This window comes from Homo sapiens, chromosome 17 (assembly GCF_000001405.40).
Source record: "Homo sapiens chromosome 17, GRCh38.p14 Primary Assembly".
NCBI classification, from domain to species: domain Eukaryota; kingdom Metazoa; phylum Chordata; class Mammalia; order Primates; family Hominidae; genus Homo; species Homo sapiens.
The window spans coordinates 54,116,884-54,143,874 of NC_000017.11; positions in this window are offsets into that span (position 1 = coordinate 54,116,884).

Genomic DNA, 26,991 nt, shown 5'->3' on the forward strand with positions numbered 1-26,991 from the left:
AGGGTAAGTTCACCATAAATTTTCGTGGCTTGCTCAGAGACTGGGGCTTCTGTGATGAATTTTTCTTCCATCCCCGAGGTGATGGTGCCCTGTTGGTGGGATGAACTCTAAGCCTGTGTTTTAGTTCTATTTTCCTGGAAAGGATGAGATCTTTACAACAATGCCATGGTTCAGTGGGAAATCTGAGTCTCACTTTCCCTGTAATGCACTTCTACCCCAAAAGAAAATACGTCTGGATCCTTGAGCTGAGACTCAGACCCAGATCTTCTCATTCCAAAACCTGAGCTGGATCTAGTCTACCATGCATCTCATTTTGCCACTCACTCAACCCTTATGGATTGTCAATCTTTAAGGGCAGTAAAAGTATCTCCATTTATCTTTGTATCTCCATGGCAAACAGCTCAGTGTCCTGTACATATAGACGTTCAATGATTATTTTTTTAAATGAAATACTCACTACAGCCTTTTAATGACAGTACTATCTCTGCAATTGAAACTATTTCTTGCTATTCCATTGCCACTTAAATATATTTCACATTTTTCTCAAAAACCACTTGTACCATTTCTAGGCAGACTGAAACTTTTAAAAGTCATACTCCCTATGCCAGAGCCACAAGGGAAATAAGTCGGAAAGCAAGGAAAATAATTTTTAAAATTTCTTTGGTTCTCCAAGGGTTGCATGAGGATGACACAAAGTATTCAGGAGAAACCCAAGTGGATATTTGATTTTCTATAGCAGCTGAGACACAAACCTGTATCAGTTACGCAAGATCATCCGGAAACTTGAAACCAGTGGAATAGAACTCTTTTCATGTTAAACAAAAGCCATGGAGATGTGCCAGAGACTCAACAAATAAGGAAATATGTTACAGAGTGAAAATCCAAATTTCTGTTGAGTAAATACTGGGGAAAAAAAGGCAATTTTTATTCTAAGAATTTAACCAGTTGGGGAAAATAGCAGACCCCCTTTAAAAAAGCCAGTATATATGTACCAGAAATAAAGATATATAATAAATAATTTTTTCCACCTAGTTAAATCATTATTCATTTTCATTAATTCATTCAACTAATATTTATCAAGTCCTGCTACAGAAAATTTGGTAGGTATTGAATATTTAAATACATTGCTAAATGTAAGAATATGACCTAGAGGAAAAGTTATATACAGAAACCCTGGAATGAAAGGATACTCCAAGAAGGACCTAAAGTAAAAATAATTGCCTGAAACTGAGTATAATCTTTAACATGGTTTTTGAATATGGTCTTTTTATAGCTTTATTAAATGAAATTATAATTGGCATGCAAAAACTGCACATATTTAAAATGTATAATGTAAGAAATTTGACATATGCCTACTTCCCTAAAACCAACACCACAATCAAGATAATGAACATAACCATCCCCCCAAAATTTCCTTGCGTCCTTTTATTAGGATGGTTACAAAAGAAATTATGATATTTGCCATTGGAAGTAATGGCAAAAACCGCAACAACTTTTGCAACAACTTAATACACTTTCTTCCCACTATGCCTCTCAGGCCTTCTCCTCAGGCAACTATTGATTTGTATTCCGTCACTCTAGATTAGTTTGCATTTTAAATAGTTGTATATAAATAGAAACAAAGTATATGCACTACTTCTGTCTGCAGTTTTTCACTCAGTATTATTATAAGGTTGTTCCGTATCCTTACATTTATCAAAAACCACTCTATTATATTGCTGAGTAGGACTTTATGGTATAGGTGTATCACAATTCATGTATCCATTGACCTGTTGACACTCGTGTTGTTGACATCGAATGTCAACGTCGACGTTGACATTCGTGTTGTTTCCAAGTTTAGGATATTTAAAATACAGATTCTACAAATATTCATGTATAGCTTTTGGTGTGAACATGGGCTTTCATTTCTTTTCATTGTTACCTAGAGTAGAATGGCTGGATCTGATGGTCATGCATATTTAATTTGTAAAGAAAGTTACAAAGTGATTCTGAAAGTGACTGTACCATTTTCTATCCCAACTATCAGTGTATGAGAGTTTCAGCTGCTCCATCCTGGCTAACCCTTAGTATGCTCAGTCTATAATTTTAGCCATCCCAGTGGGTGTAGTAATATCTCATTATGGCTTTAAATTACATTTTCCTAATGATTAGTGATATTGATCATCTTTATTACTATTAACAATCTGTATATATAAATACCCATGATGAGGGGTCTGTTCAAATATTTTGCACTTATATTGTTAGTCTGCTTATTATTAAGTTCCAAGTGTTCTTTATATATTTAACAACATAAATTATTTTTCAGATACATTTTACAAATATTTTCTTTTAGCCTGTGTGTTGCCTTTACAATTTCTTTTTTCTTTTTTATGCCCTCACTTTAACTTGAGCCTTTACATTTTCTTGACAATGTATTTTTAAATTTTTTCTGAAGTCTAACTTAAGGTCTTTTCCTTTTACAGTTAAAATTTAAGAAATCTTTGACAAATCCAAGTTTTCTTCTATGTTTTCTGATGTAAGATTAGCTCTTGTGTTTAGATGAATGATTATCTTGCACTACTTACTGGATATGGTGGGAAGTATATGCCAAAGCTCACTATTTTTTACATATTGGACGTTCAGTGGTTTCAGGACTATTTATTGAAAATATTATTTATTCTCAATGAATTGCCTTGCTATCTTTGTCAAAAATTAGTTTATTATATAGGTGTTTGTTTATTTCTGTAATCTCTATTTTGTTCTGTTTTATTAATCATTTTGTCTTTATTGGTTCCAATACCAATACTATCTTTGTTATTGTGGCTTTATAAAAAAAAGTTTTTCAACTTTGTTCTTTTAAGTTGATTAGCTATGCTAGCTCCTTGGCATTTCCTTATAAATTTTGAAATCAGCTTATCAATTTCTTAAAAAAAAACCAGTTGCAATTTTGATTGGAATTGTGTTGAATATAGAGACCAATTTCAGAGAGAACAAAAACTTAAAATTATTAAGCCTTCTGATTCATGAAAATAAATTACATTGTTCTATTGTCAAATATTAAACCAACCCTGCATTCCTGGAATAAACACCACTTGATCCTAAAATATTACCCTTTTAATATATTGTTGAATTTAATGTTCTAAAATTGTATTTAAAATTTCTGGCTGGGGCGGTGGCTCATATCTGTAATCCCAGCACTTTGGGAGGTCGAAGTGGGTGGATCACCTGAGGTCAGGAGTTCAAGACCAGCCTGGCCAACATGGTGAAACTCCATCTCTACTAAAAATACAAAAAATTAGCCAAGGCATGGTGGTGGGTGCCTGTAATCCCAGCTACTCAGGAGGCTGAGGCAGGAGAATCACTTGAACCCAGGAGATGGAGGCTGCAGTGAGCTGAGATCATGGCCTTGCACTCCAGCCTGGGCAACAAGAGCAAAACCCTGTCTCAAAAAAAAAGAAAAAAAAAAAGAAAAGAAAAAAAAGAAAATTGCATATTAGTGTTCATTCCGTTTGTTTGTCTAGTGTTGGTATCACTGTAAATCTTGCCTCATAAAATGAGCAAAAAAATTTACTTTTCTTCAATTTTTTGGAAGATTTTGTATGGAATTAGTATTATTTCTTAAATGCTTGGTAGAATTCTTCAGTGATGCCTCTGGGTCTGGAATTTTCATGTTGTGAATATTTTTAACTACAAACTTAATTTCAAATATATATAAATATACATATATATTTCAAGTTATCTATTTCTTTTTGATTGAGCTTTGAGAGTTTACCCTTTTCAAGAAATTTTTTTCATTTCATTTAAGTTCTCAAACTTATTGACTTAAAATTGTAATATTTTCCTAGCAGTTTTCTAATATGTACAGAATCTATAGTGATATCATTCCTCTTACTTTTCATATTTGGTAACGTGTTTATTTTTATTTTCCCCCATCTATCTTATTAGGGGTTTATACATTTTTACTGACCTTCTGAGAGACATCCTTTTTAAATTTCATTGGTTTTTTTCTCTATTATTTCTCTATTATTGACTCCATTTATTTCTTCTTAAATTTTCTTTCTACTGCTTACTTTGAGTCTAATTTGCCATACAGTTTCTGATTTCTTCAGATGGAAGCTTAGGTCATTTAAGAACTTCCTGTTTTGTTGTTCTTGTTGTTGTTTCTAATAGAGACATTTGGTTCTGTATACTTTGTTCTAGATACTGTTTTATCTTCATTCTACACATTTTTGTATGCTTTGTTTTTATTTTTACTGACTTCAAGATACTCTAAATTCTCTTTGATTTAGAGAGGGGTCAATTGTACGACTCATTTGTTTCCCCTCTCTTTGATTTCCTTATGATTTATGTGGTCAGAGAACATGCTTTGTCCAATTTAAATCGTCTTAAATTGATTGTTACTTATGGCCTATTTAAAAATATTGCTTGTTTTGGTAACTGTTCCATGTGTACTTGAAAATAATACGTGTTATTCTTTTTGGGGGCGCAGTGCTCATATTGTGGTCTCTTATTCTTTTTGTGTTTCATTTTGGACAATTTCTATTGATTTCTGTTCAAATTTATTAATCTTTCATCTACAATATTCCATATATTATTAACCTCCAGTGCATTTTTTTCTCTTCAACCATTATAGTTTTCATTTCTAAAAGTTTGATTTAGGTATTTTTATATCTTCCATGCCTCTATTTAATAAATTCAATTTTTTAACGTTTTTGAGTATATGAGATAAAATAATAATAACTATTTTAATATCTATTGATTCCATCATTTGTCATTTTTGAATCTGTTTCTACCAATTGGATTTACACCTTCTGTGTCATATTTTCTTGCTTTTTTGCATGCCTCGGCATACGTGACTAGACGAGAAACATCTTGATTTTCACCTTATCATGGTGAATATTTGTCCTGGGTCTTTTGTGTTTCTATAAATATTTTTAGTTTTGTTCTGGGATATCGTTAAGTTACATGGAATCAATTTGATTATTTCAAGGCTTGCTTTTAAGCTTTCTTAGGTTAAATTAGACATTAGAGAAGAAAACATTAGGGCTAGTTTTGCTCCACAATTGAGGCAATGACCCTCAAAGTACTCTACCTAATATTCCTGGATAAATAAGATTCTCAGTCTGGCTGGTAGAAATACTGGTACTCTGTGAACTGAAAATTGGTTCCTTTTTTCTTATGTGGATGGTTATTTCCCTTGTCGTGGGTAGTTTCATCACACATAGCACTGAGCAACTCTAATGGGACATATTGTAGTTTTCTGAAACTCCCTCTTCAATGACTATACTGGGACTTTGAGCTGCCTTGGACTCTGCAAACTTGGTCCAAACTCTATTTCCTCATCTCAAGGAGACCCCACATGCTGCCTGTGCTGCTACCGGGGTCAATTATATGACTCATTTGTATCACCTTTGTCGGTATTACTGTCCTCTGGTGCCCGATATCTCATATCAGAAATCCACTGGTTAATACTTTTGTCCAATATTTTTATTATTTGAGGTGGGAGGAAAAATTGGGTCTCCATTACTCCATCTTGTCCAGAAATAATAATGAAGACACTTGATTATTAATTTGTTCAACAACTGGACTTTTTTGGTCTAGTTTGTAATTCACTTTATCATTCTCTACCCCACATCTTCAAAGTAATTTTATTTTTCTTTTGCTTTTGAAAATGTTCTTTATTTTTGTATCACAACTGCAAGCAAAAATTTAGTCTTCAGGGAACAAAAAGGTCTGTGGTATGTTATATGAAATGTCATGTCTGAATGAGTTTGTTACAATGCTTTCAATGATATTTTCAAACAGTCTCCATGAGAGATCATTTCAATGAATATCAAACTGTTTTTAATGATTAGAGTAGTAGAAATAGTATATACAGAGAAAATCCACAGAGGTATAAAAGCTGGTGTCCAATATTATGGTCACTCAGGTTGTTTCAGTTAGGTCTTTGTGATTAAAAAGAGAGGCTTCTGGCCAGGCACAGTGGCTCACACCTGTAATCCCAGCATTTTGGGAGTCCAAGGCAGGTGGATCGACTGAGGTCAGGAGTTCGAGGCCAGCATGGCCAACATGGTGAAACCCCATATATATTAAAAATACAAAAATTAGCTGGGCCTGGTGGTGGGCCCTGTTACTCCATTTACTCGGGATGCTGAGGCAGGTAAATCGCTTGAACCTGGGAGATGGAGGTTGCAGTGAGCCAAGATCGTGCCATTGCACTCCAGCCTGGGCAACAAGAGCAAAACTCTGTCTCAATAAATACATAAATAAATAAATAAAAATAAAAGCAAAACAAAAAAAGAGAGCCTTTCATAAGTAGATGAAAATAGGGATGGTGGTTGTTACAACAATCAGTATGGAATCACATGGAAATAATCCAAGAAAATATATTAATATACCATTGAGCATCATTGAAATTCAAACTAAATCCAGAAAGTGAAACATGATTTCATTGCACTTCAATCTATGCTTTAGTACTGCTATGATCCCTATTCCCTCTGCTTTTTTATTGTTGTTTCCTTTAGATGTCTTGTTGCTGCCTCTTTCACCATCTACCAGCTTTGCTGGCCTCTATTCTGTACATGTTTCTCTAAATTCAAGTTCCTGACTACTCAGGCAGATCTGTTATGATATCCAAGCCAAGTTCCACCCTTGCTGTAGATATTTTCATGTTTATTCCTATTACCAATTACTTCAGTTACTTTATAATTCACAATTCAAGTATCCAAAATTGGGAATTCCATCTACCCAATTCATCTTTTGTTACAAGACCGCACCAAAGTTAACAGTTGAGCTTATGAATCGATTGTCTAGTGATGAGGTGTGCAAATATTTAAAGCTTCAGGATATGGTCATATAGATAACCTTAGTAAATATATAGGTCAGTGCAACTTTCTTTAAAAGATGCTGTAAACTGAGCAAACACTGACTTTCACAAGTCTGATACTTACATAGATGAGAAATTAGAGGCCAGAATCAGAAACAATGGACAGAATTTACAAGGAGATAGATTTTGGAAAAAAGCACTGTTTAATATGTTTTTAAAATTCAAATATGTTATAGGGTGAGACCTTTCTGTTTAACCTTGAAATTTTGGTTTTTATGCATTTCAGATTATATGAGAATCATCCTAAATAGTTGCAGTATTATTCAACTTTTATACAAGCAAAAATGCTGGTATTGTAGTATGAATGCTAAAAATAAAAAATGAAAATAAAAAAAGGACAAGGAATTCCAATAATATATCATTCCTTTCTTTATTATCCATGTTAATTTTTCAGAATGATGAGAGGGCAGGATGAATTAATGCTTGATGTTTTGCAAAATGCAAAAATTGTCTCAGGATTGTTCTGAAATTTAAATGTGAAGAACTAAATATGTTTCCCCCCGACAGCTTTTCTTGTAACTGGAAAACTTTCCAGAAATGCATCTGATAACAATTGTCTCCTAGATGTCTCTTATTCACACTTGGTTCTTTAGAAGGAATCATGCTTTCATTAATGACATTTTCTTTTCACAGTTAATTGTCAGTCAGTCAACGTCTACCTTTGCCAAATGTCTGAAATAGTAGATAAGGGAAAAAGGTCTCACAAAATAGGACAGTATCTTCCTAAATGCATAATATTATCTGTGAGATTAGTCATAAAACGAAATATTTAGACTCTGGTCTAAACTAGATAAACAGAAGAAAATTATTAGACATTTATATCAAAATGTCCTGGTTGATCATATCACATTTGGCTCTTTTAAAATGTAAAGCTGATACTTAAAGAGTTGTGCAATAGGAAGAAGTGGGAAAATTGCCACACACACACACAAAGCCATTACAGAATAAGAATTTCAAAGTAGTCTAATCAAGTGCATCTTCAGGCAAATGTTTGCAAAAGTCTTTTTATAAAGAATGAACCATTAAAATAAAAAAAGAGTCTATATAGATGTACCCTACTTCTAGAAGAAGAACAAATGTAATATCTAAGCATTGGCAGGTCATTACATTAAAAGCAATTTTGATAGTTAACTATGCAGAAACAGAAATATAAATCTGAAACACAGCTGTAATCACTCTATGGAAAAATCTCTGCTATTAAACACTTGGCAAAGTGGACAGCCTAACGATGTAGTAAAATCCTTTGCACTAAATTCAGTCTGTTACCCCTGATGGAGATTAGGCATCATTAGATTTTGGTGCATGTTTCTGTTATCTTGCATTAAAGAGAGAGCTATGAATTTATTTCACAGAATTGATTTCAGTGGTTACAATATTAACTCCGGTTGTTGCTTTAAAAAATTACCTAGTAATTTAATAACTTTCCGTTGAGCAAAGTAATTGTAAAGACTTTTGTTTTCATCATGAACTTGTTGACTTAAAGATAGCATTATCTTTTTTTTTTTAAACAGGATTTTCCTTTGTGTGGATGGGAGAATCCTCCTCTATCAATGCATTAGTTTGCTCACCATTCTTCCTACATTTATTAAAAGATTTTTGAGACAAGCTGCACCACAAACATTTTAAGATTAAATGTAAAATAAGATTTGTAAAAGTTCAGTAATAGCTATGAAATATTGCAACGATGTATACGATAAAAATATCTTTCTTTTCTTCTTCTTCTTTTTTTTTTTTTTTTTAGACGATGGAGTCTGGCTCTGTCACCCAGGCTGGAGTGCAGTGGTGCAAGCTCAGCTCACTGCAAGCTCCGCCTCCTGGGTTCATGCCATTCTCCTGCCTCAGCCTCCCCAGTAGCTGGCACTACAGGCACCTGCAACCATGCCCCACTAATTTTCTGAAGTTTTAGTAGAGATGGGATTTCACCATGTTGGCCTGGCTAGTCTCGAACTCCTGACCTCAGGTGATCCACTCTCCTCTGCCTCCCAAAGTGCTGGGATTACAGGCATGAGCCACTGCACCCAGCCCCATTTAATTTTTTTTTTTAATTATACTTTAAGTTCTAGGGTACAAGTGCACAACATGCAGTTTTGATACATAGGTATACATGTGCCATGTTGGTTTGCTGCACCCATCAACTCATCATTTACATTAGTATTTCTCCTAATGCTATCCCTCCCCCAGGCCCCCACCCCCCGACAGGCCCTGGTGTGTGATGTTCCCCGCCCTGTGTCCAAGTGATCTCATTGTTCAATTCCCACCTATGAGTGAGAACATGTGGTGTTTGGTTTTTTGTCCTTGTGATAGTTTTCTGAGAATGATGGTTTCCAGCTTCATCCATGTCCCTGCAAAGGACATGAACTCATCCTGTTTTTTTTTTTTTTTTTTTTTGGCATAGCATTCCATGGTGTATATGTGCCACATTTTCTTAATCCAGTCTATCATTGATGGACATTTGGGTTGGTTCCAAGTCTTTACTATTGTAAATAGTGCTGCAAAAAACATACAGATGCATGTGTCTTTATAGTAGCATGATTTATAATCCTTTGGGTATATACCCAGTAATGGGATTGCTAGGTCAAATGGTAATTCTAGTTCTAGATTCTTGAGGAATCGCCACACTGTCTTGCACAATGGCTGAACTAATTTACACTCCCACCAACAGTGTTAAAGCATTCCTATTTCTCCACATCTGTTGCAGGAAGTCAGGGACCCCGAACGGAGGGACCAGCTGGAGCTGTGGCAGAGAAACATAAATTGTGAAGATTTCATGGACATTTATCAGTTCCCAAAATTAATACTTTTATATTTTCTTATGCCTGTCTTTACTGCAATCTCTGAACATAAATTGTGAAGATTTCATTTTAATATGGACATTTATCACTTCCCTAATAATACTCTTACAATTTCTTATGCCTGTCTTACTTTAATCTCTTAATCCTGTTATCTTCCTAAGGTGAGGATGTATGTCACCTTCAGACCACTGTTGTACAAATTGATTGTAAAACATGTGTGTTTGAACAATATGAAATCAGTGCACCTTGAAAAAGAACAGAATAACAGTGATTTTAGGGAACAAGGGAAGATAACCATAAGGTCTGACTGCCTGTGGGGTCAGGCAAAAAGGTCCATATTTTTCTTCTTGCAGAGAGCCTATAAAGGGACATACAAGTAGGAGAGATATCACTAAATTCTTCTCCTACCAAGGAATATTAAATATTAAGACCCTAGGAAAAGAAGTGCATTCCTGGGGGGAGGTCTATAAATGGCCACTCTGGGAGTGTCTGTCTTATGCAGTTGAGATAAGGACTGAAATACTCCCTGTTCTCCTGCAGTACCCTCAGACTTACTCGGATTGGGAAATTCCAGCCAGGTAAATTTTGGTCACACTGGTTCTCTGCTCTTGAACCCTGTTTTCTGTTGTTTAAGATGTTTATCAAGACAATACATGCACAGCCAAACATAGACCCTCATCAGTAATTCTAATTTTGTAATTTGCCTTGTGATCTTTGCTTTGAGCTTTGCCTTGTGATCTTTATTGCCTTTTAAAACATGTGATCTTTGGGACCTACTCCCTGTTCATACACCCCCTCACCTTTTAAAGTCCTTAATAAAAACCTGCTGGTTTTGCGGCTCAGGGCATCATGGTCCTACCGATATGTGATGTCACCCCCGGAGGCCCAGCTGTAAAATTCCTCTCTTTGTACTCTTTCTCTTTATTTCTCAGACTGGCCATCACTTAGGGAAAATAGGAAGAACCTATGTTGAAATATTGGCGGATGGTTCCCCCAATACACACCCTCTCCAGCATCTGTTGTTTACTGACTTTTTAATGATTACCATTCTAACTGGTGTGAGAAGGTATCTCATTGTGGTTTTGATTTGCATTTCTCTGATGACCAGTGATGATGAACATTTTTTCATGTGTCTGTTGGCTGCATAAATGTCTTCTTTTGAGAACTGTCTGTTTATATACTTTGCCCACTTTTTGTTGGGGTCATTTGTTTTTTTCTTGTAAATTTGTTTAAGTTCTTTGTAGATTCTGCATATTAGCCCTTTGTCAGATGAGTAGATTGCAAAAATTTTCTCCCATTCTGTAGGTTGCCTGTTCACTCTGATGGTAGTTTCTTTTGCTGTGCAGAAGCACTTTCATTTAATTAGATCCCATTTGTCTATTCTGGCTTTTGTTGCCATTGCTTTTGGTGTTTTAGTCATGAAGTCTTTGCCCACGCCTGTGTCCTGAATGGTATTGCCTAGGTTTTCTTCTAGGGTTTTTAATGGCGTTAGGTCTTACATTTGTCTTTAATCCATCTTGAGTTAATTTTTGTATACAGTGTAAGGAAGGGATCCAGTTTCAGCTTTCTACCTATGGCTAGCCAGTTTTCCCAACACCATTAATTAAATAGAGAATCCTTTCCTAATTGCTTGTTTTTATCAGGTTTGTCAAAGATCAGATGGTTGTAGATGTGTGGTGTTATTTCTGAGGCCTCTGTTCTGTTCCATTGGTCTATATATCTGTTTTGGTACCAGTACCATACTGTTTTGGTTACTGTAGCCTTGTAGTATAGTTTGAAGTCAGGTAGAGTGATGCCTCCAGCTTTCTTCTTTTTGCTTAGGATTGTCTTGGCTACACAGGCTCTTTTATGGTTCCATATGAATTTTAGTTTTTTGCAATTATGTGAAGAAAGTCAATCGTAGCTTGATAGGGATAGCATTGAATCTATAAATTACTTTGGGCAGTATGGCCATTTTCATGATATTGATTCTTCCTATCCATGAGCATGGAATATTCTTTCATTTGTTTGTGTCCTCTTTTATTTCCTTGTCAGTGGTTTGTAGTTCTCCTTGAAGACATCCTTCACATCCCTTGTAAGTTGGATTCCTAGGTATTTTATTCTCTTTGTAGCAATTGTGAATGGAAGTTCACTCATGATTTGGCTCTTTGTTTGTCTATTATTGGTGTACAGGAATGATTGTGATTTTTGCACATTGATTTTGTATCCTGAGACTTTGCTGAAGTTGCTTATCAGCTTAAGGAGATTTTGGGCTGAGACAATGGGGTTTTCTAAATATATAATCATGTCATCTGCAAACAGCGACAATTTGACTTCCTCTTTTCCTAATTGAATACCCTTTATTTCTTTCTCTTGCCTGATTGCCTGGGCCAGAACTTCCAACACTATGGTGAGAGAGGGCATCCCTGTCTTGTGCCAGTTTTCAAGGGGAATGCTTCCACTTTTTGACCATTCAGTATGATATTGGCTGTGGGTTTTTCATAAATAGCTCTTATTATTTTGAGATACGTTCCATCAATACCTAGTTTATTGAGAGTTTTTAGCATGAAAGGCTGTTGAATTTTGTCAAAGGCCTTTTCTGCATCTATTGAGATAATCATGTGGTTTTTGTCTTTGGTTCTGTTTATGTGATGGATTACGTTTATTGACTTGCATATGTTGAACCAGCCTTGCATCCTAGGGATGAAGCAGACTTGATCATGGTGGATAAGCTTTTTGATGTGCTGCTAGATTCAATTTGCCAGTGTTTTACTGAGGATTTTCACATCGATGTTCATCAGGGATATTGGCCTAAAATTCTCTTTTTTTGTTGTATCTCTGCCAGGCTTTGGTATCAGGATGATGTTGGCCTCATAAAATGAGTTAGGGAGAATTCCTTTTCTATTTATTGGAATAGTATCAGAGGGAATGGTACCAGCTCCTCTTTGTACCTCTGGTAGAATTTAGTTGTGAATCTGTCTGGTCCTGGACTTTTTTAGTTGTTGCCTATTCAGAGTCTGTTACTGGTCTATTCAGAGATTCAACTTCTTCATGGGTTAGTCTTGGGAGGGTATATGTGTCCAGGAATTTATCCATTTCTTCTAGATTTTCTGGTTTATTTGCATAGAGGTGTTTATAGTATTTTCTGATGGTACTTCATATTTCTGTTGGATCAGTGGTGATATCCCCTGTATCATTTTTTATTGCATCTATTCTTCTCTCTTTTCTTCTTTATTAGTCTTGCTAGTGGTCTATCAATTTTGTTGATCTTTTAAAAAAAGCCAGCTCATAGATTCATTGATTTTTTGAAGGGTTTTTTGTGTGTCTAACTCTTTCAGTTCTGCTCTGATCTTAGTTATTTCTTGCCTTCTGCTAGCTTTTGAATTTGTTTGCTCTTGCTTCTCTAGTTCTTTTAATTGTGATGTTAGGGTGTTGATTTTAGGTCTTCCTTGCTTTCTCTTGTGGGCATTTAGTGCTATAAATTTCCCTCTACACACTGCATTAAATGTGTCCCAGAGATTCTGGTATGTCGTGTTTTTGTTCTCATTTGTTTCAAAGAATATCTTTATTTGTACTTTCATTTTGTTATGTACCCAGTAGTCATTCAGGAGCAAGTTGTTCAGTTTCCATGTAGTTGTGTGTTTTTGAGTGAGTTTCTTAATCCTGAGTTCTACTTTGATTGCACTGTGGTCTGAGTGCAACAGAGTTGTTGTGATTTCTGTTCTTTTACATTTGCTGAGGAGTGCTTTACTTCCAATTATGCGTCCTTTTTAGAACAAGTGTGATGTGATGCTGAGAATAATGTATATTCTGTTGATTTGGGGTGGAGAGTTCTGTAGATGTCTGTTAGGTCTGCTTTTTGCAGAGCTGAGTTCGGGTCCTGGATATCCTTGTTAACCTTCTGTTTCATTAATCTGTCTAATATTGACAGTGGGGTGTTAAAATCTCCTATTATTATTGTGTGGTAGTCTAAGTCTCTTTGTAGGTCTCTAAGGACTTGCTTTATGAATCTGGGTGCTCCTGTATTGGGTGCATGTATATTTAGGATAGTTAGCTCTTCTTGTTGAATTGATCCCTTTACGATTATGTAATGGCCTTCTTTGTCTCTTTTAATCTTTGTTGGTTTAAAGTCTGTTTTATCAGAAACTAGAATTGCAACCCCTGCTTTTTTTGCTTTCCATTTGCTTGGTAGATATTCCTCCATCCCTTTATTTTGAGCCTATGTGCGTCTTTGAATGTGAGATTGGCCTCCTGAATACAGCACACTGACGGGTCTTGACCTTTTATCCAATTTGCCAGTCTGTGTTTTTTAATTGAGGCATTTAGCCCATTTACATTTAAGGTTAATATTGTTATGTGTGAATTTGATCCTGTCATTATGATGTTAGCTGGTTATTTTGCCCATTAATTGATGCAGTTTCTTCATAGCATCGATGGTCCTTACAATTTGGCCTGTTTTTGCAGGGACTGGTACCGCTTGTTCCTTTTCATGTTTAGTGCTTCCTTCAGGAGCTCTTGTAAGGGAGGTCTGGTGGTGACAAAATCTCTCAGCATTTGCTTGTTTGTAAAGGATTTTATTTCTCCTTCACTCATGAAGCTTAGTTTGGCTGGATGTGAAATTCTGGGTTAAAAATTCTTTTCTTTAAGAATGTTGAATATTGGCCCCCACTCTCTTCTGGCTTGTAGGGTTTCTACTGAGAGATCCACTGCTAGTCTGATGTGCTTCCCTCTGTGGGTAACTCGACCTTTCTCTCTGGCTTCCCTTTACACTTTTTCCTTCATTTCAACCTTGGTGAATCTGACAATTATATGTCTTGGGTTTGCTCTTCTCGGGGAGTATCTTTGTGGTGTTCTCTGTATTTCCTGAATTTGGATGTTGGCCTGCCTTGCTATATTGGGGAAGTTCTCCTGGATAATATCCTGAAGAGTGTTTTCCAACTTGGTTCCATTCTCCCCATCACTTTCAGGTGCACCAATCAAACGTAGATTTGGTCTTTTCACATAGTCCCATATTTCTTTTTTTTTTTTTTTTGAGATGGAGTCTCGCTCTTTCACCCAGGCTGGAGTGCAGTGACGCTATCTCGGCTCACTGCAAGCTCCACTTCCTGGGTTCATGCCATTCTCCTGCCTCCGCCTCTTGAGTAGCTGAGACTACAGGCACCTGCCACTGCGCCCAGCTAATTTTTTATATTTTTAGTAGAGACGGGGTTTCACCGTGTTAGCCAGGATGGTCTCGATCTCCTGACCTTGTGATCCACCAATCTTGGCCTCCCAAAGTGCTGGGATTACAGGCGTGAGCCACTGTGCCCGGCCATAGTCCCATATTTCTTGGAGGTTTGTTCATTTTTTTTTCACTCTTTTTTCTCTGTCCTTGGTTTCTTGCTTTATTTCATTAATTTGATCTTCAATCACAGATACCCTTTCTTCCACTTGATCGAATTGGCTATTGAAGCTTGTGCATGTGTCATTAAGTTCTTGTGTGAGGGTTTTCAGCTCTATCAGGTCATTTAAAGTCTTCTCCACACTGTTTATTCTAGTTAGCCCTTTGTCTAATCTTTTTTCAAGGTTTCTAGCTTCCTTGTGATGGGTTCGAACATCCTCCTTTAGTTCAGAGAAGTTTGTTATTACCGACCTTCTGATGCCTACTTCTGTCAACTTGTCAAAGTCATTCTCCATCCAGCTTTGTTCCATTGCTGGTCAGGATCTGCGATCCTTTGGAAGAGAAGAGGTGTTCTGATTTTTAGAATTTTCAGATTTTCTGTTCTGGTTTCTTCCCATCTTTGTGGTTTTATCTACCTTTGGTCTTTGATATTGGTGACCTACAGATGGGGTTTTGGTGTAGATGACCTTTTTGTTGATGTTGATGCTATTCTTTTCTGTTTGTTAGTTTTTCCTTTTAACAGGTCCCTCAGCTTCAGATCTGTTGGAGTTTGCCGGAGTTCCACTCCAGATCCTCATTGCCTGGCTATCACCAGCGGAGGCTGCAGAACAGCAAATATTGCTGCCTGATCCTTCCTCTGGAAGCTTTGCCCCAGAGGGTCAGTCGCCTATATGAGGTATCAGTCAGCACCTACTGGGAGGTGTCTCACAGTTAGGCTGCATGGGGATCAGGGGCCCACTTGAGGAGGCAGTCTCTCCGTTCTGAGAGTTCAGACGCCATGCTGGGAGAACCACTGCTCTCTTCAGAGCTGTCAGACAGGGATGTCTACATCCCTTCAGACTACAAAAGTTGTCTGCTGCCTTTTGTTCAGCTATGCCCTGCCCACAGAGGTGGAATCTAAAGGCAGTAGGCCTTGTTGTGCTGTGGTGGGCTCTGCCCCGTTCAAGCTTCTCAGAGGCTTTGTTTACCAACTCAAGCCTCAGCAATGGTGAAGGCCCTCCCCCAGCCAGCCTGCTGTCTCACAGATCGATCTCAGACTGCTGTGCAGGTGGTGAGCAAGGCTCTGTGGACATGGGAGCCACTGAGCTAGGCACGGGAGAGAATCACCTTGTCTGCCAGTTGCTAAGACTTTGGGAAAAGCACTGTATTTGGGTGGGAGTGTCCCATTTTTCCAGGTAGTCTGTCATGGCTTCCCTTGGCTAGGAAAGGGAAATCCCTTGACCGCTTGTGCTTCCCAGTTGAGGTGACACCCCGCCCTGCTTTGGCTTGCCCTCCGTGGGCTGCACCCACTGTCTGACCAGTCCTAATGAGGTGAACCAGGTACCTTAGTTGGAAAGGCAGAAATCACCAGTCTTCTGTGTTGATCACGCTGGGAGCTGCAGACTGGAGCTGTTTCTATTCAGCCACCTTGGAATGCACCCCCTAAATTTTTTAGTGAGAGACATACACTACTTTTTTTCCCAACCTGGAACATTTGCTTTAAATCTATAACAATTACCATTTCAGTTTATCTCTTTCTTCCCCTTAGGTGGAAACACAGAAGTGGAATCTAGAGGCAGTAGGCCTTGGTGAGCACTTCTATCATCATCTTAAGCATAATGATGGTTGCTCTTCATTTTCACTCACACCCTCTAACTTGTTCTCATTTTATGTGTGGCACCTAAGAGAGTGCTCCTAATATATAATTTTCTAAAATGTAATAACATACTTCTCATAAAAATATCAAATGAACATATGTTAGTGATATTATTTAACTTGTGAATTAATGAAGCAATGTTAAAACTGGCTCACATGAGAATTTAAGGTGGTTAGCTATTTACAGAAAATTTAATAAAGCAATGCTAGAATAAGATTTCTGAATGAGATACAACACTAGTTAACATCCAATAGGTTAATAAAACATAACCTTTGTGGTTATCTATTCTTCTGGAAAGAAGTGATTTGCATCTCTATCAGAAGTAAATCTACAAGTGAATTTCTGCCCCTTCCAAGCTGTTAAAGAACCCAGTCAATAAAAAGTCAATCAAGAGGGCAAACACAGAACTGCTTTGAGAGAACACCCAATAATCTCTTTTGTCATTTCCATGTTTTCATAATATTTTGACAGTGCCTTGAAAATAACGGACATTTATGAAATATATGTGGAATTGGAGAAGTAGAGACTGAGTGGATCTGAAGTCCTTTATACCGTGGTTTTGGGATATCACTAGTTAAAAACTTCTGATTAAAGGCCATATGAAGCTGGGTGTGGTGGCACATACCTCAGGAAGCTGAGGTGGGAGAATCACTTGAGCTCAGGAGAACGAGGCTGGAGTGAGCTATAACTGTGCCACTGCACTCCAGCCTGTGCAAGAGTGAGGCCCCATCTCTAAAAACATTAAAAAAAAAAACTAGATAAATAAAGGCCATATGATTATTCTCAAGCAGGCTCCACTAGACAAACAACAAGACCAAGAAGGTCAGGGCACTCAGAAGAGATGTGTAACTGCTTTCTGAGCAAAGCTGGATAAATGGTACTGGGAAAATATAAATATTATTGATCCATGATATCTTAAAAGTTTGAAAGAGATAAAGGCATTTTGCACATTTCTGCAATTAGAATGTACTTTTGGCACATATCTTGATGAGTATACTGCTATATATGAAGCCTCCTACAGATGGGGGCTTCTTTTTAAGTTGCATGTTGTGAGAGATAATTGATTAAAAATTCAAATTTGAGCATGGATGGCCTCAAAAATCGTGTTTCTATGTATTTATTTTTATTATTTATTCATCTATTTATTTATTTTTGAGACAGACTGTCACTCTGTCACCCAGGCTGGAGTGTAGTGGCATGATCTTGGCTCACTGCAACCTCCGCCTCCAAGGTTCAAGCAATTCTCCTGCCTCAGCCTCCGAAGTAGCTGGACTACAGATGTGCACCACCATGCCTGGCTAATTTTTGTATTTTCTGATATTATTAATAGTAGAGATGGAGTTTCACCATTTTGCCCAGGCTGGTCTCAAACCCCTGAGCTCAAGTGATCAGCCAACTTCAGCCTCCCAAAGTGCTAGGATTAAAGGTGTGAGCCCATCATGCCCAGCCCTCAATTTATTTTATGTTGGTGTCATTTATCTTTTATTTTCTAAAATCTGAATTTTGAAGTTTAGACTCTGAAACCCAATTTATCTTCCTCATTTGTAAAGGTAAGCTAAATATTAGCTTTTTAAGAAAATAATTATTCAAAAATTAATAAAATTCTACAATTCCTTGAAGACTGTTTGAAACCTTCTTTGTTCCCTTAAACATACACTGTGAATTATTTTCCTATTATAAATAATAATAATATGATAATCCCTCTTAAAGTTCAATCTTTGTCAACATTTATGATATTTTTCTTAGGTTAAATTTCTACAAATATTTTTAAAATTCTGTAATATTTTCATAGGCTAAATTTCTGCTATAATTTCTGAGTTAATCTGTTTATGCAATTTTTAACCATTTTGAATGTATTGTCCTATTTTCTTCCAGAAAAAAGAAATCTTTTTAATTTACTGTCCCAATAACAATACATAGGAAGGCTTAATTCTCCTTTTGCTAATACTGTTGGCAATTTGAAGGCTGAAAAGTGGTACTTAGATTTTGGAGGGTTTTTTTTAACGTATTTGATTCCAAAGATAAAACATATATCCAAAGGATTATTGGTTGCAATGTTATTTTGGATAATAGATGTTTTTCATTTACCCATCTAGAATCGTTCTTCATCACCTTTACCTGTCTGCTCTGTTGCCCTGTGATGCTGACGTCTATGGAATGCATCAATATGATCCCTCTTCATCTGTGTGCAGCTTTGCAGCTGTAATTAGCTAATGAGAGCCTCCTGCTGAAGATGGGGTGGTGGGAGTACTATTAAGCCAATTTTTCCCCAATCCGCTTTCTCTTGCTTATCATGTGTTGGATGTATTTCTCTAAGTAGTGGTGCTCATAGATGTAGCTCCTAGATCCCTTTACTGAAATAGTGCATTTGTCTCCAAGTTGCTTTAATTACTGGTTGCTAACAGTTGCCCCTTATCTACAGAATTGTCCTCGGCCAAATGGGAATTACCTTGCCAGGTAAGTTATGCCGATGTTCACAGGGGTAAGACAATTACTGGCTTACACTGGGATACACAACTCCCCTACCCTTCTTCCTCAAAGTGGAATCAACTCTGTGGGGCAATTAATACTGCAGAGCTCCCCAAGGGATCAGACTAAAGATTCGGTACAGTTGGAGTCACACAGTTGCTTACCTTTTTCCTCCTTTGTTCTATCCTGCTTTTCTCACTCACCTTCTCCTAATAGCACTTTCTCAATAAATCAACTGCAAATAATTCCTGTTTCAGGCTCTGCTTCTAAGAATTTGACCTAGTACAGTGGATACCAGGACTGATTTTAGGGAGCAGGCTCAAAAGATGAGTTGAATCTCTTGTAATGAGAACTCCATCACTGGTTGTACGTAAAGTATCGATGGGCCATTGCATGTTATAGCAGTGTGATTTTTAAGACTTCTCTATTGAAAAGGAACTGGATAAAAGTGGAAGGGAATTTACTATCTGGAGAGTGTCTCTTACATTTAAGAGGAATAAAGAAAAGAGTATAGAAACTATGGCACTGTGTGTCTATTACTAAGTACTATTGATTCATGTAAAGTGCAGATGACAAGCTCAGATTTAGTAATCAGCCATGTAAAACAGTGTGAGGGGAAAGGCATCTGTGACTTCCTTATACAGACACCCCGTCTTCTGCAGTTGGAGGACAGACAGAACTGAAGACTGAAGGCACAGTGAAGGTACAAGAGATCATTTAAGAGTGGCAGAACCTTAGAGAAGGCTGACTTCTCAGCCTAGGTAAGTCTCCTACGCCAAAGTTAGGGCCATGATAAGGAAGGGATGGGACGTTGATGTTTGAATGGAGATGTATGCGTAGATGCACTTAAACCTGAATCCGCTGATTACCCTAATATTTCTGTGTTTGCAGAAGTGGCCTACTCCCTTGGAGTATAAAGCCCCATTCTTGCTAAAAGACTGTGCAGAAGCCTCAAATGAGACAGGTGCCTTATACCATAATGCTTTCCCTCCTCAGGGTACCCCGAGCTCCCCTCCTGGCTGCCACAATCATAACTAGGGTCAAATCTCAGCATTACTGTCATCTGCTAAGGAATAACAATGAATGTAACCATACAAACTTCAGAGCCTGGCTAATACACTGTGAGGAACTAAGAAATTATATTGAATAGTAGATACTAACAATGTTGGATCAAAACAGTCTATATATGTATATATATTATATATATAATTATATATATCGAATTATATATATAATATATATTATTCCATTTTATGTATATATAAAAATATATAACTGAATAAAGAGTTTGTTAATATGGAAGCACTATTGTGATTCAGGATTTAACACCCAGATGAAGATTCTCATATGCTTCCGGAATGGCTCTTGGGAGCCTGGATAAAAAATAGAAGCACAGGTGCCATAATTGCCATAGTAAATCATGAAGGTAAAGATCAAAGGCCCAGAAAATGGACCTATTGAAATAAATCTACTTATATGGTAGACCAAAAATAAATAAATAAATAACCCAAAGCAAAACCACAAAACATCATCTAGTGATATTTCTCAAGAGGGTCCAGAGTACATTTTATACGATTTACAAAAGTGATAAAGAATGTATCAAGGAAAAGGAAGCCAGCATCACAGTGTCATTAAGAGACCCAGAGAAGCTGGTCCTTGTGTGCAATGCTATCTGAAAGAGATGCTGTTACAAACTGGACTCTCTAATAACAATGGGTATGACAGGAACTGAGAAAAAAAGGCCAGGTGGCAGCACTTAACCAACAAAAGCAAGGTGGGCTATTTCAATGGGTAGGGGTAGGCACAACTACAATTGGCAAGATAAGAATAGCAGCTGTAAGGCCTAATCCATAGCTATCTATGGAGATGATTAATAGAATATGTCATTTTAGGAGCAGGATAGATAAACAACAAAAAAGCACATTGTTTATTAGAATCAAAGGAAATCAAGAATAGTTGGGCAGAAAGCTGAGGTCAGCTGCCCACTACAAAGTCACAAGCCCCTCATATTTCCTAGATATGATTAGTCCTCATACCCAGACCCAAACAGCTGATGAAAGGGCTGCATCTTAATTAAGAAAGACTCTACAAAACCAGGGCAAGAGTTTATAGGAATGACTTCCCCACAGACAACCTATGACCTTTTACTCAACTTACCATACACTGAAGAAAGGGGAATACCAGATCTCTTGAGCGTTGTTGAATACGAGGTTCATGCTGATGCTATTACAGTTACAGTAAGAATCCCGGAGTACCAGGTCAGATAATAAAGTCCTGGCCTATGACTCATTGGCAGAATCTTCACATTTGTTTCTTAACTTGTAGGTTTTTGTGTAGTTCTGGACTTGTGCATAGTTTTAAAAAGTGTGTGTGTCTGTGTGTGTGTGTGTGTGTGTGTGTAATTTTTTTTCAGAGATAGGCTGCTGCTCTGTTGCTCTGGCAGGAGTGCAGTGATGCAGTCATAGCTCACTGAAGCAGTGAAGTTCTGGGATCAAGTGATCCTCTGCCTCAGCCTCTCAAATACCTGGGATTATGGGCACATGCCACCATGCCTGGCTAATTTTTTTTTAATCTTAATTTTTTTGTGGAGACAGGTTCTTGCTATGTTGCCCAGGCTGATCTCAGACTCCTGCTCTCAAACAATCCTCTCGCCTCAGCCTCCTAAAGTGCTGGGATTATAGGCATAAGCCATGATACCCAGCCACTTTTCTAATACATATATATATAATATACATAGTATATATTATATATATAATATACATAGTATATATTATATATATAATATACATAGTATATATTATATATATAATATACATAGTATATATTATATATATAATATACATAGTATATATTATATATATAATATACATAGTATATATTATATATAATATACATAGTATATATTATATATATAATATACATAGTATATATTATATATAATATACATAGTATATATTATATATATAATATACATAGTATATATTATATATATAATATACATAGTATATATTATATATATAATATACATAGTATATAATATATATAATATACATAGTACATATTTATATATAATATACATAGTACATATTATATATATAATATACATAGTACATATTATATATAATATATATAGTATATATTATATATAGTATATATAGTATATATTATATATAATATATATAGTATATATTATATAATATTATATATAGTATATATTTATATATATATTATATATATATATGAGAAAAAATATACAACCTTTGCCTCCTGGGCTGGGATTACAGGCACCCACCACCATGCCCAGCTAACTTTTTTTTTTTGTATTTTTAGTAGAGATGGGGTTTCACTATCTTGACCAGGCTGGTCTCGAACATCTGACCTCAAGTGATCTGTCCACCTTGGACTACCAAAGTGCTGGGATTACAGGCATGAGCCACAGCGCCTGGCCTCTAATACATTATATACTGGAAACAAGAGGAAGAAGTGGGGAGGCACCCATAACAGAATACAAACAGAAAAAAATGACCCTGTATTTAAAAGAATAACTACACTGAAGAAAGCAAGGTAGAGGACCAACCCCGTCATTTTGCATTTTGTAATGGACAGGGGGATTCTTGTCTCTCCTGATATGATGCAACAGGAAGGATACAACATTTCTTCTATGGTGTTCCTGTCAAAAAAATTATTACCCACATCTAATCATTAGGAAAAGTTTGACAACCCAATTGAGGGACATTCTACCAAATAACGACTTCATACATTTAAAAATGTCAAGTTTATAAAAATGTTGAACTATTCTGTTAAAGGTGACTACAGACACATGACAACTAAATACTGAATGTGATCTGGATTTGATTCTGCACAACAAAAAATAAAAGAAATTTTTATTTAGGACACTCGTGGGACAATTGGTAAAGTCTAAAGGAAATCTGTGATAATAGCATTCTGTCATTGTTAATTCTTGAATTTGAGAATCATACTGTATTTGGAATAAACATATTAGAACACTTTGAAGTGAAGGATAAAGAAATTACCATAAAATATTTGCATAATCTAGATGAAACATATATGGGAGTTATTTGTATCAATTTTCCAACTTTTCTATAAGCCTGAAATCATTTTATTTCAGGCTTTAAATATACATGCAAATTACTTTAAAAATACACGCAAAAGTTGTAATCCTTTAAAGGAGTATATTTTTAAATTCATAGCAGTACCTGAACTCCAAAGAGGTTTATTTTTTACTTTTCAGTGCTGAACTACTTAGAGGATGGATATATCCGGTAATGTCATAATTATATCACGTCTCTCAAAATCTCTTTCAAATGTGTATTTTCAAATCGCTCTGTATCAAAATGACTTAATATCCCAAAAGGGTAGAAAAAGCAAAGCATAGTAAACAGGTAGTATAATTTAATTACCTTTGCTTTCTCTCTTTAAGCATGTCTGACACAGTACATACAGGTCAATGAAATAAATCATTGATATTCCCATGGTTTTCATGGCAGTCTCTAATATCCTTTCTGATTTGATTGTATGACTAGCTTACAACCTCAGCTTCCACTGTGGCTTCATTTACTATTCCTTGGATTCAATGTTATTGTATTTACTTATTAATTTACTTATTCACCAGCAAATGTTAACCACAAAGTAGGTGCCAAACACTAGAATATTGTTTTAATACTGTGTATTTGACCTTAATTTTCTTCTAAAAACATTGGCTTTGTAGTTCCCTCTCCTGACTTGTTGCAGTTTGAACTATCTTTAGAAGGATGCTCTATCTTAATTAACTCTGCAGACCCCAACTCCATCCCATTTACCTACATCCAATGGAATCAGTCCAGTAATCTGCAAAGAGTAGATTTGGATAAAATAAGATTACACGCATATTTTAAGTGAAATTTCCATCTTCCCACCAATGTGTTTGACATGCTATTCTAATAAGTTTCAATAATCAGAGAAAGCATGTATGTATATATAAGTCAAACTACGTTAGTAGGAAACAATTTCATGCTAAAGTTCACACAGATAGTATATTTGAAAATGTAGAATCAAATAGATATATACACTAAGGAAATATATAAAAGTAAAAAATTATTTTCAGTTTCATAATATTGTAAACTAATATTGGTAATGTCCCTGGGTTTCCTTTGGGCAATTAGGGGAAAATTTAAGCAATTTAAGGTTCAGGTGTGTGGTGAACAAAAAGCAATGATTTGATCTGTCTTTTTGATTCAGTTATGATCTCCCCAGGATAGTTTAACTTATCCCTTTGCCTAAAAGTGAAATATTGATCCCCAAACACTAAAGGTGTTTTTTATACTGTATATTTAGTACAGAAACTTGACTTATCCCAAAATATTTTATTCCATATACTTCCTTAAACTGAAGTACAACAAGGTCTTGTAGATAAATTAAAACAATAAAACAAAATTTAGTTTAAAAGGAAGTAATTGCCAGCTTTGAATAATAGTTTGATTATTGATTAACTCACCCAAGTTAAATGAATCACAGTTATTCCTTTTCCTCCTAAGAATCATAAATTGAAAGCCTTTGAATTAATGCTGAAATAATGACAGCAAATTTTACTATAATGAACAGCACCTCATCATTTCTGAAGCATTTGAGACCTAGCAAAGCTCTTATATTATATGAAATAACATGCCTCGATCTTCTCTCCCTGCTATTTAAATCTGAGAATTTAAAATAATGTCAAATCAATGAGAACTACCTATTCTCACCCCAGATCAACAGCAAGTTATTTTCCCTGTTTCTTGAGTAAACTACTTCTTTGGCTCTTCTGATGAAAAAGAAAATATGATCTAAATCCTAGGAAATTGGCATTTTTCTGGTGTTTGGGGAGTTGACTACTGCTGACTTTGACACATTCATATAACCCTTCCTTTCAGGCAGGATTTACTAACATAAACAATTTGTATTCATCCCACTGATGTTGAATTGAAATGGTTGAGTTGGAAAGAAACTCTAGCAATGAATTCACATATTATTCTCATAGGGCCAAGCAATTAAATAAGGTCCTCAGGTCAGACTTGGCTCAAAGCTTCCATGCTCTTTTTCTTGAATTCCAATGCTCTTGTGAAGCTTTCTTTTCCTAGGGTCTTAAATTCTTGTGAACATTTCTTATTCTGACTTTCCGATTTTGCAAAATTTTTGATCCCTTAACCTCAGAGTTACTTCAGGGCTCAGTCTTTAGATTTCTTCTTTCTCTATATACACTCCCTTGGGATCTTATACAATCCCAATGCCTTATATACAATCCTGTTGTTTTAAATGCTCCCAAATTTATACCTCTATCTCATTACTCTTCTTGAACTCCGGGCTCATTTATTTAATGTCTAGTTGATATATCTACTTACATACCTAAGAATTATCTCAAAGTGAAGCATACCCAAGATTCTATTCATAAACTGCTCCCTCAAATCTGCTATAGCCTAATTTTTTCATATCACACAGTGATAATTCAAGCCTTCTACTTTTTCAGAACATACATTTTGGATAATTTTCAGTCCTCAATTACTCACACTTTCATTCAATTTAGCAGAAACACATTCATGACATCACTTCAACGTACAGTATATCTAAGACAAACAATGCAGTCAAAATTGTAGCCAAGAATCACAAATGATGCTAAAATTAATGGGAAACATACGATGTAAAACTGGATATCTGTGTAACCTCAAATTCTTTCCCCCCAAAATACTTATTAATTGCAAATGGAAAAATAGTTACCTTACAGAAGAGAAATCCCATAGACATCACCTTAACCAAGTAAAGAAATTTAACAGCACTAAAAATACTGTCATCATGTACCTCCTGATAGGACGCACTGAGGATATAATATCACTGCTCTTTCATTCTTGCCAAAAACACACAACTGAAATTTAACCTGAAGAACAACTGAACAAACTGAAGTTGAAAGACATTTATAAACAGGTAATTCTTCAAATGTATTAAGGTCATGAAAGACGGGGGAAGACTCAGAAACTTTCCAGACTGAGGAAGATGAAGACGTGACAACTGAGTGCAGTGTAAAATTCTGTTAGCTTCTTAGGCAGAGAACTTTATCCCTTTTAGTGCTATCTTCGTTCAGATTACGGTTTCAGTGCTATTGTTTCCACAACTGCAAAGGCTGATCAATGTACGTCCTTAATCAAAGATAGTTCTCTCCCTAAAAGGAATTCTGGTGCAAGCTCTTTAAAATAAGAGACATGCTTTGCTACACAAGTAAAAAATTGTAGTACAAGGAATTCTGGGAATGCTTTTGATACCATATTTCTTGGGAGCACCAACAGGGCATGTATAGGTACCTATGTCTAACTTCATCTTCCAAGTGAGTCAAGCTGCCCAAATTACTGTAAACGCCTCCTTAGAAGATTGTGTCCCTCAAATGTAGCCCTTATCGCACGGACCTTGATAATTAATTATGGTACTCATCTTTGTGAAGAAAGATACCTGCTTTTAAAAAAAGATATCAACGTATATAGAAAATCACATTTTTAAATTGATGTCACACAAATCTGTGCTGTAAAGTAGTTAACCCCTTTTACACGAAAAAGTAATTAACTGTTAATCAAAATTAAGTAAGCAAACATCAGGACTGGCTTGTTTTGCTCCAGTTCTAAGAGATTGTTTCCTTTGACAACCTGTAATGGTATTTTTTACAATTCTACCTGAGCCACAGGTCAATCTGAGGATTGAGATATAGAAGATTTTCTGAAGACATAATAGACACTTGAAATTACAAATTATTCATTATGAGACTCTTCACAGCATGCATTATCTCATTTGAACCATGGTGGGATTGTTCTATTCAGGAAGATCAAATATTTGGATTATACCAAAGAAAGCA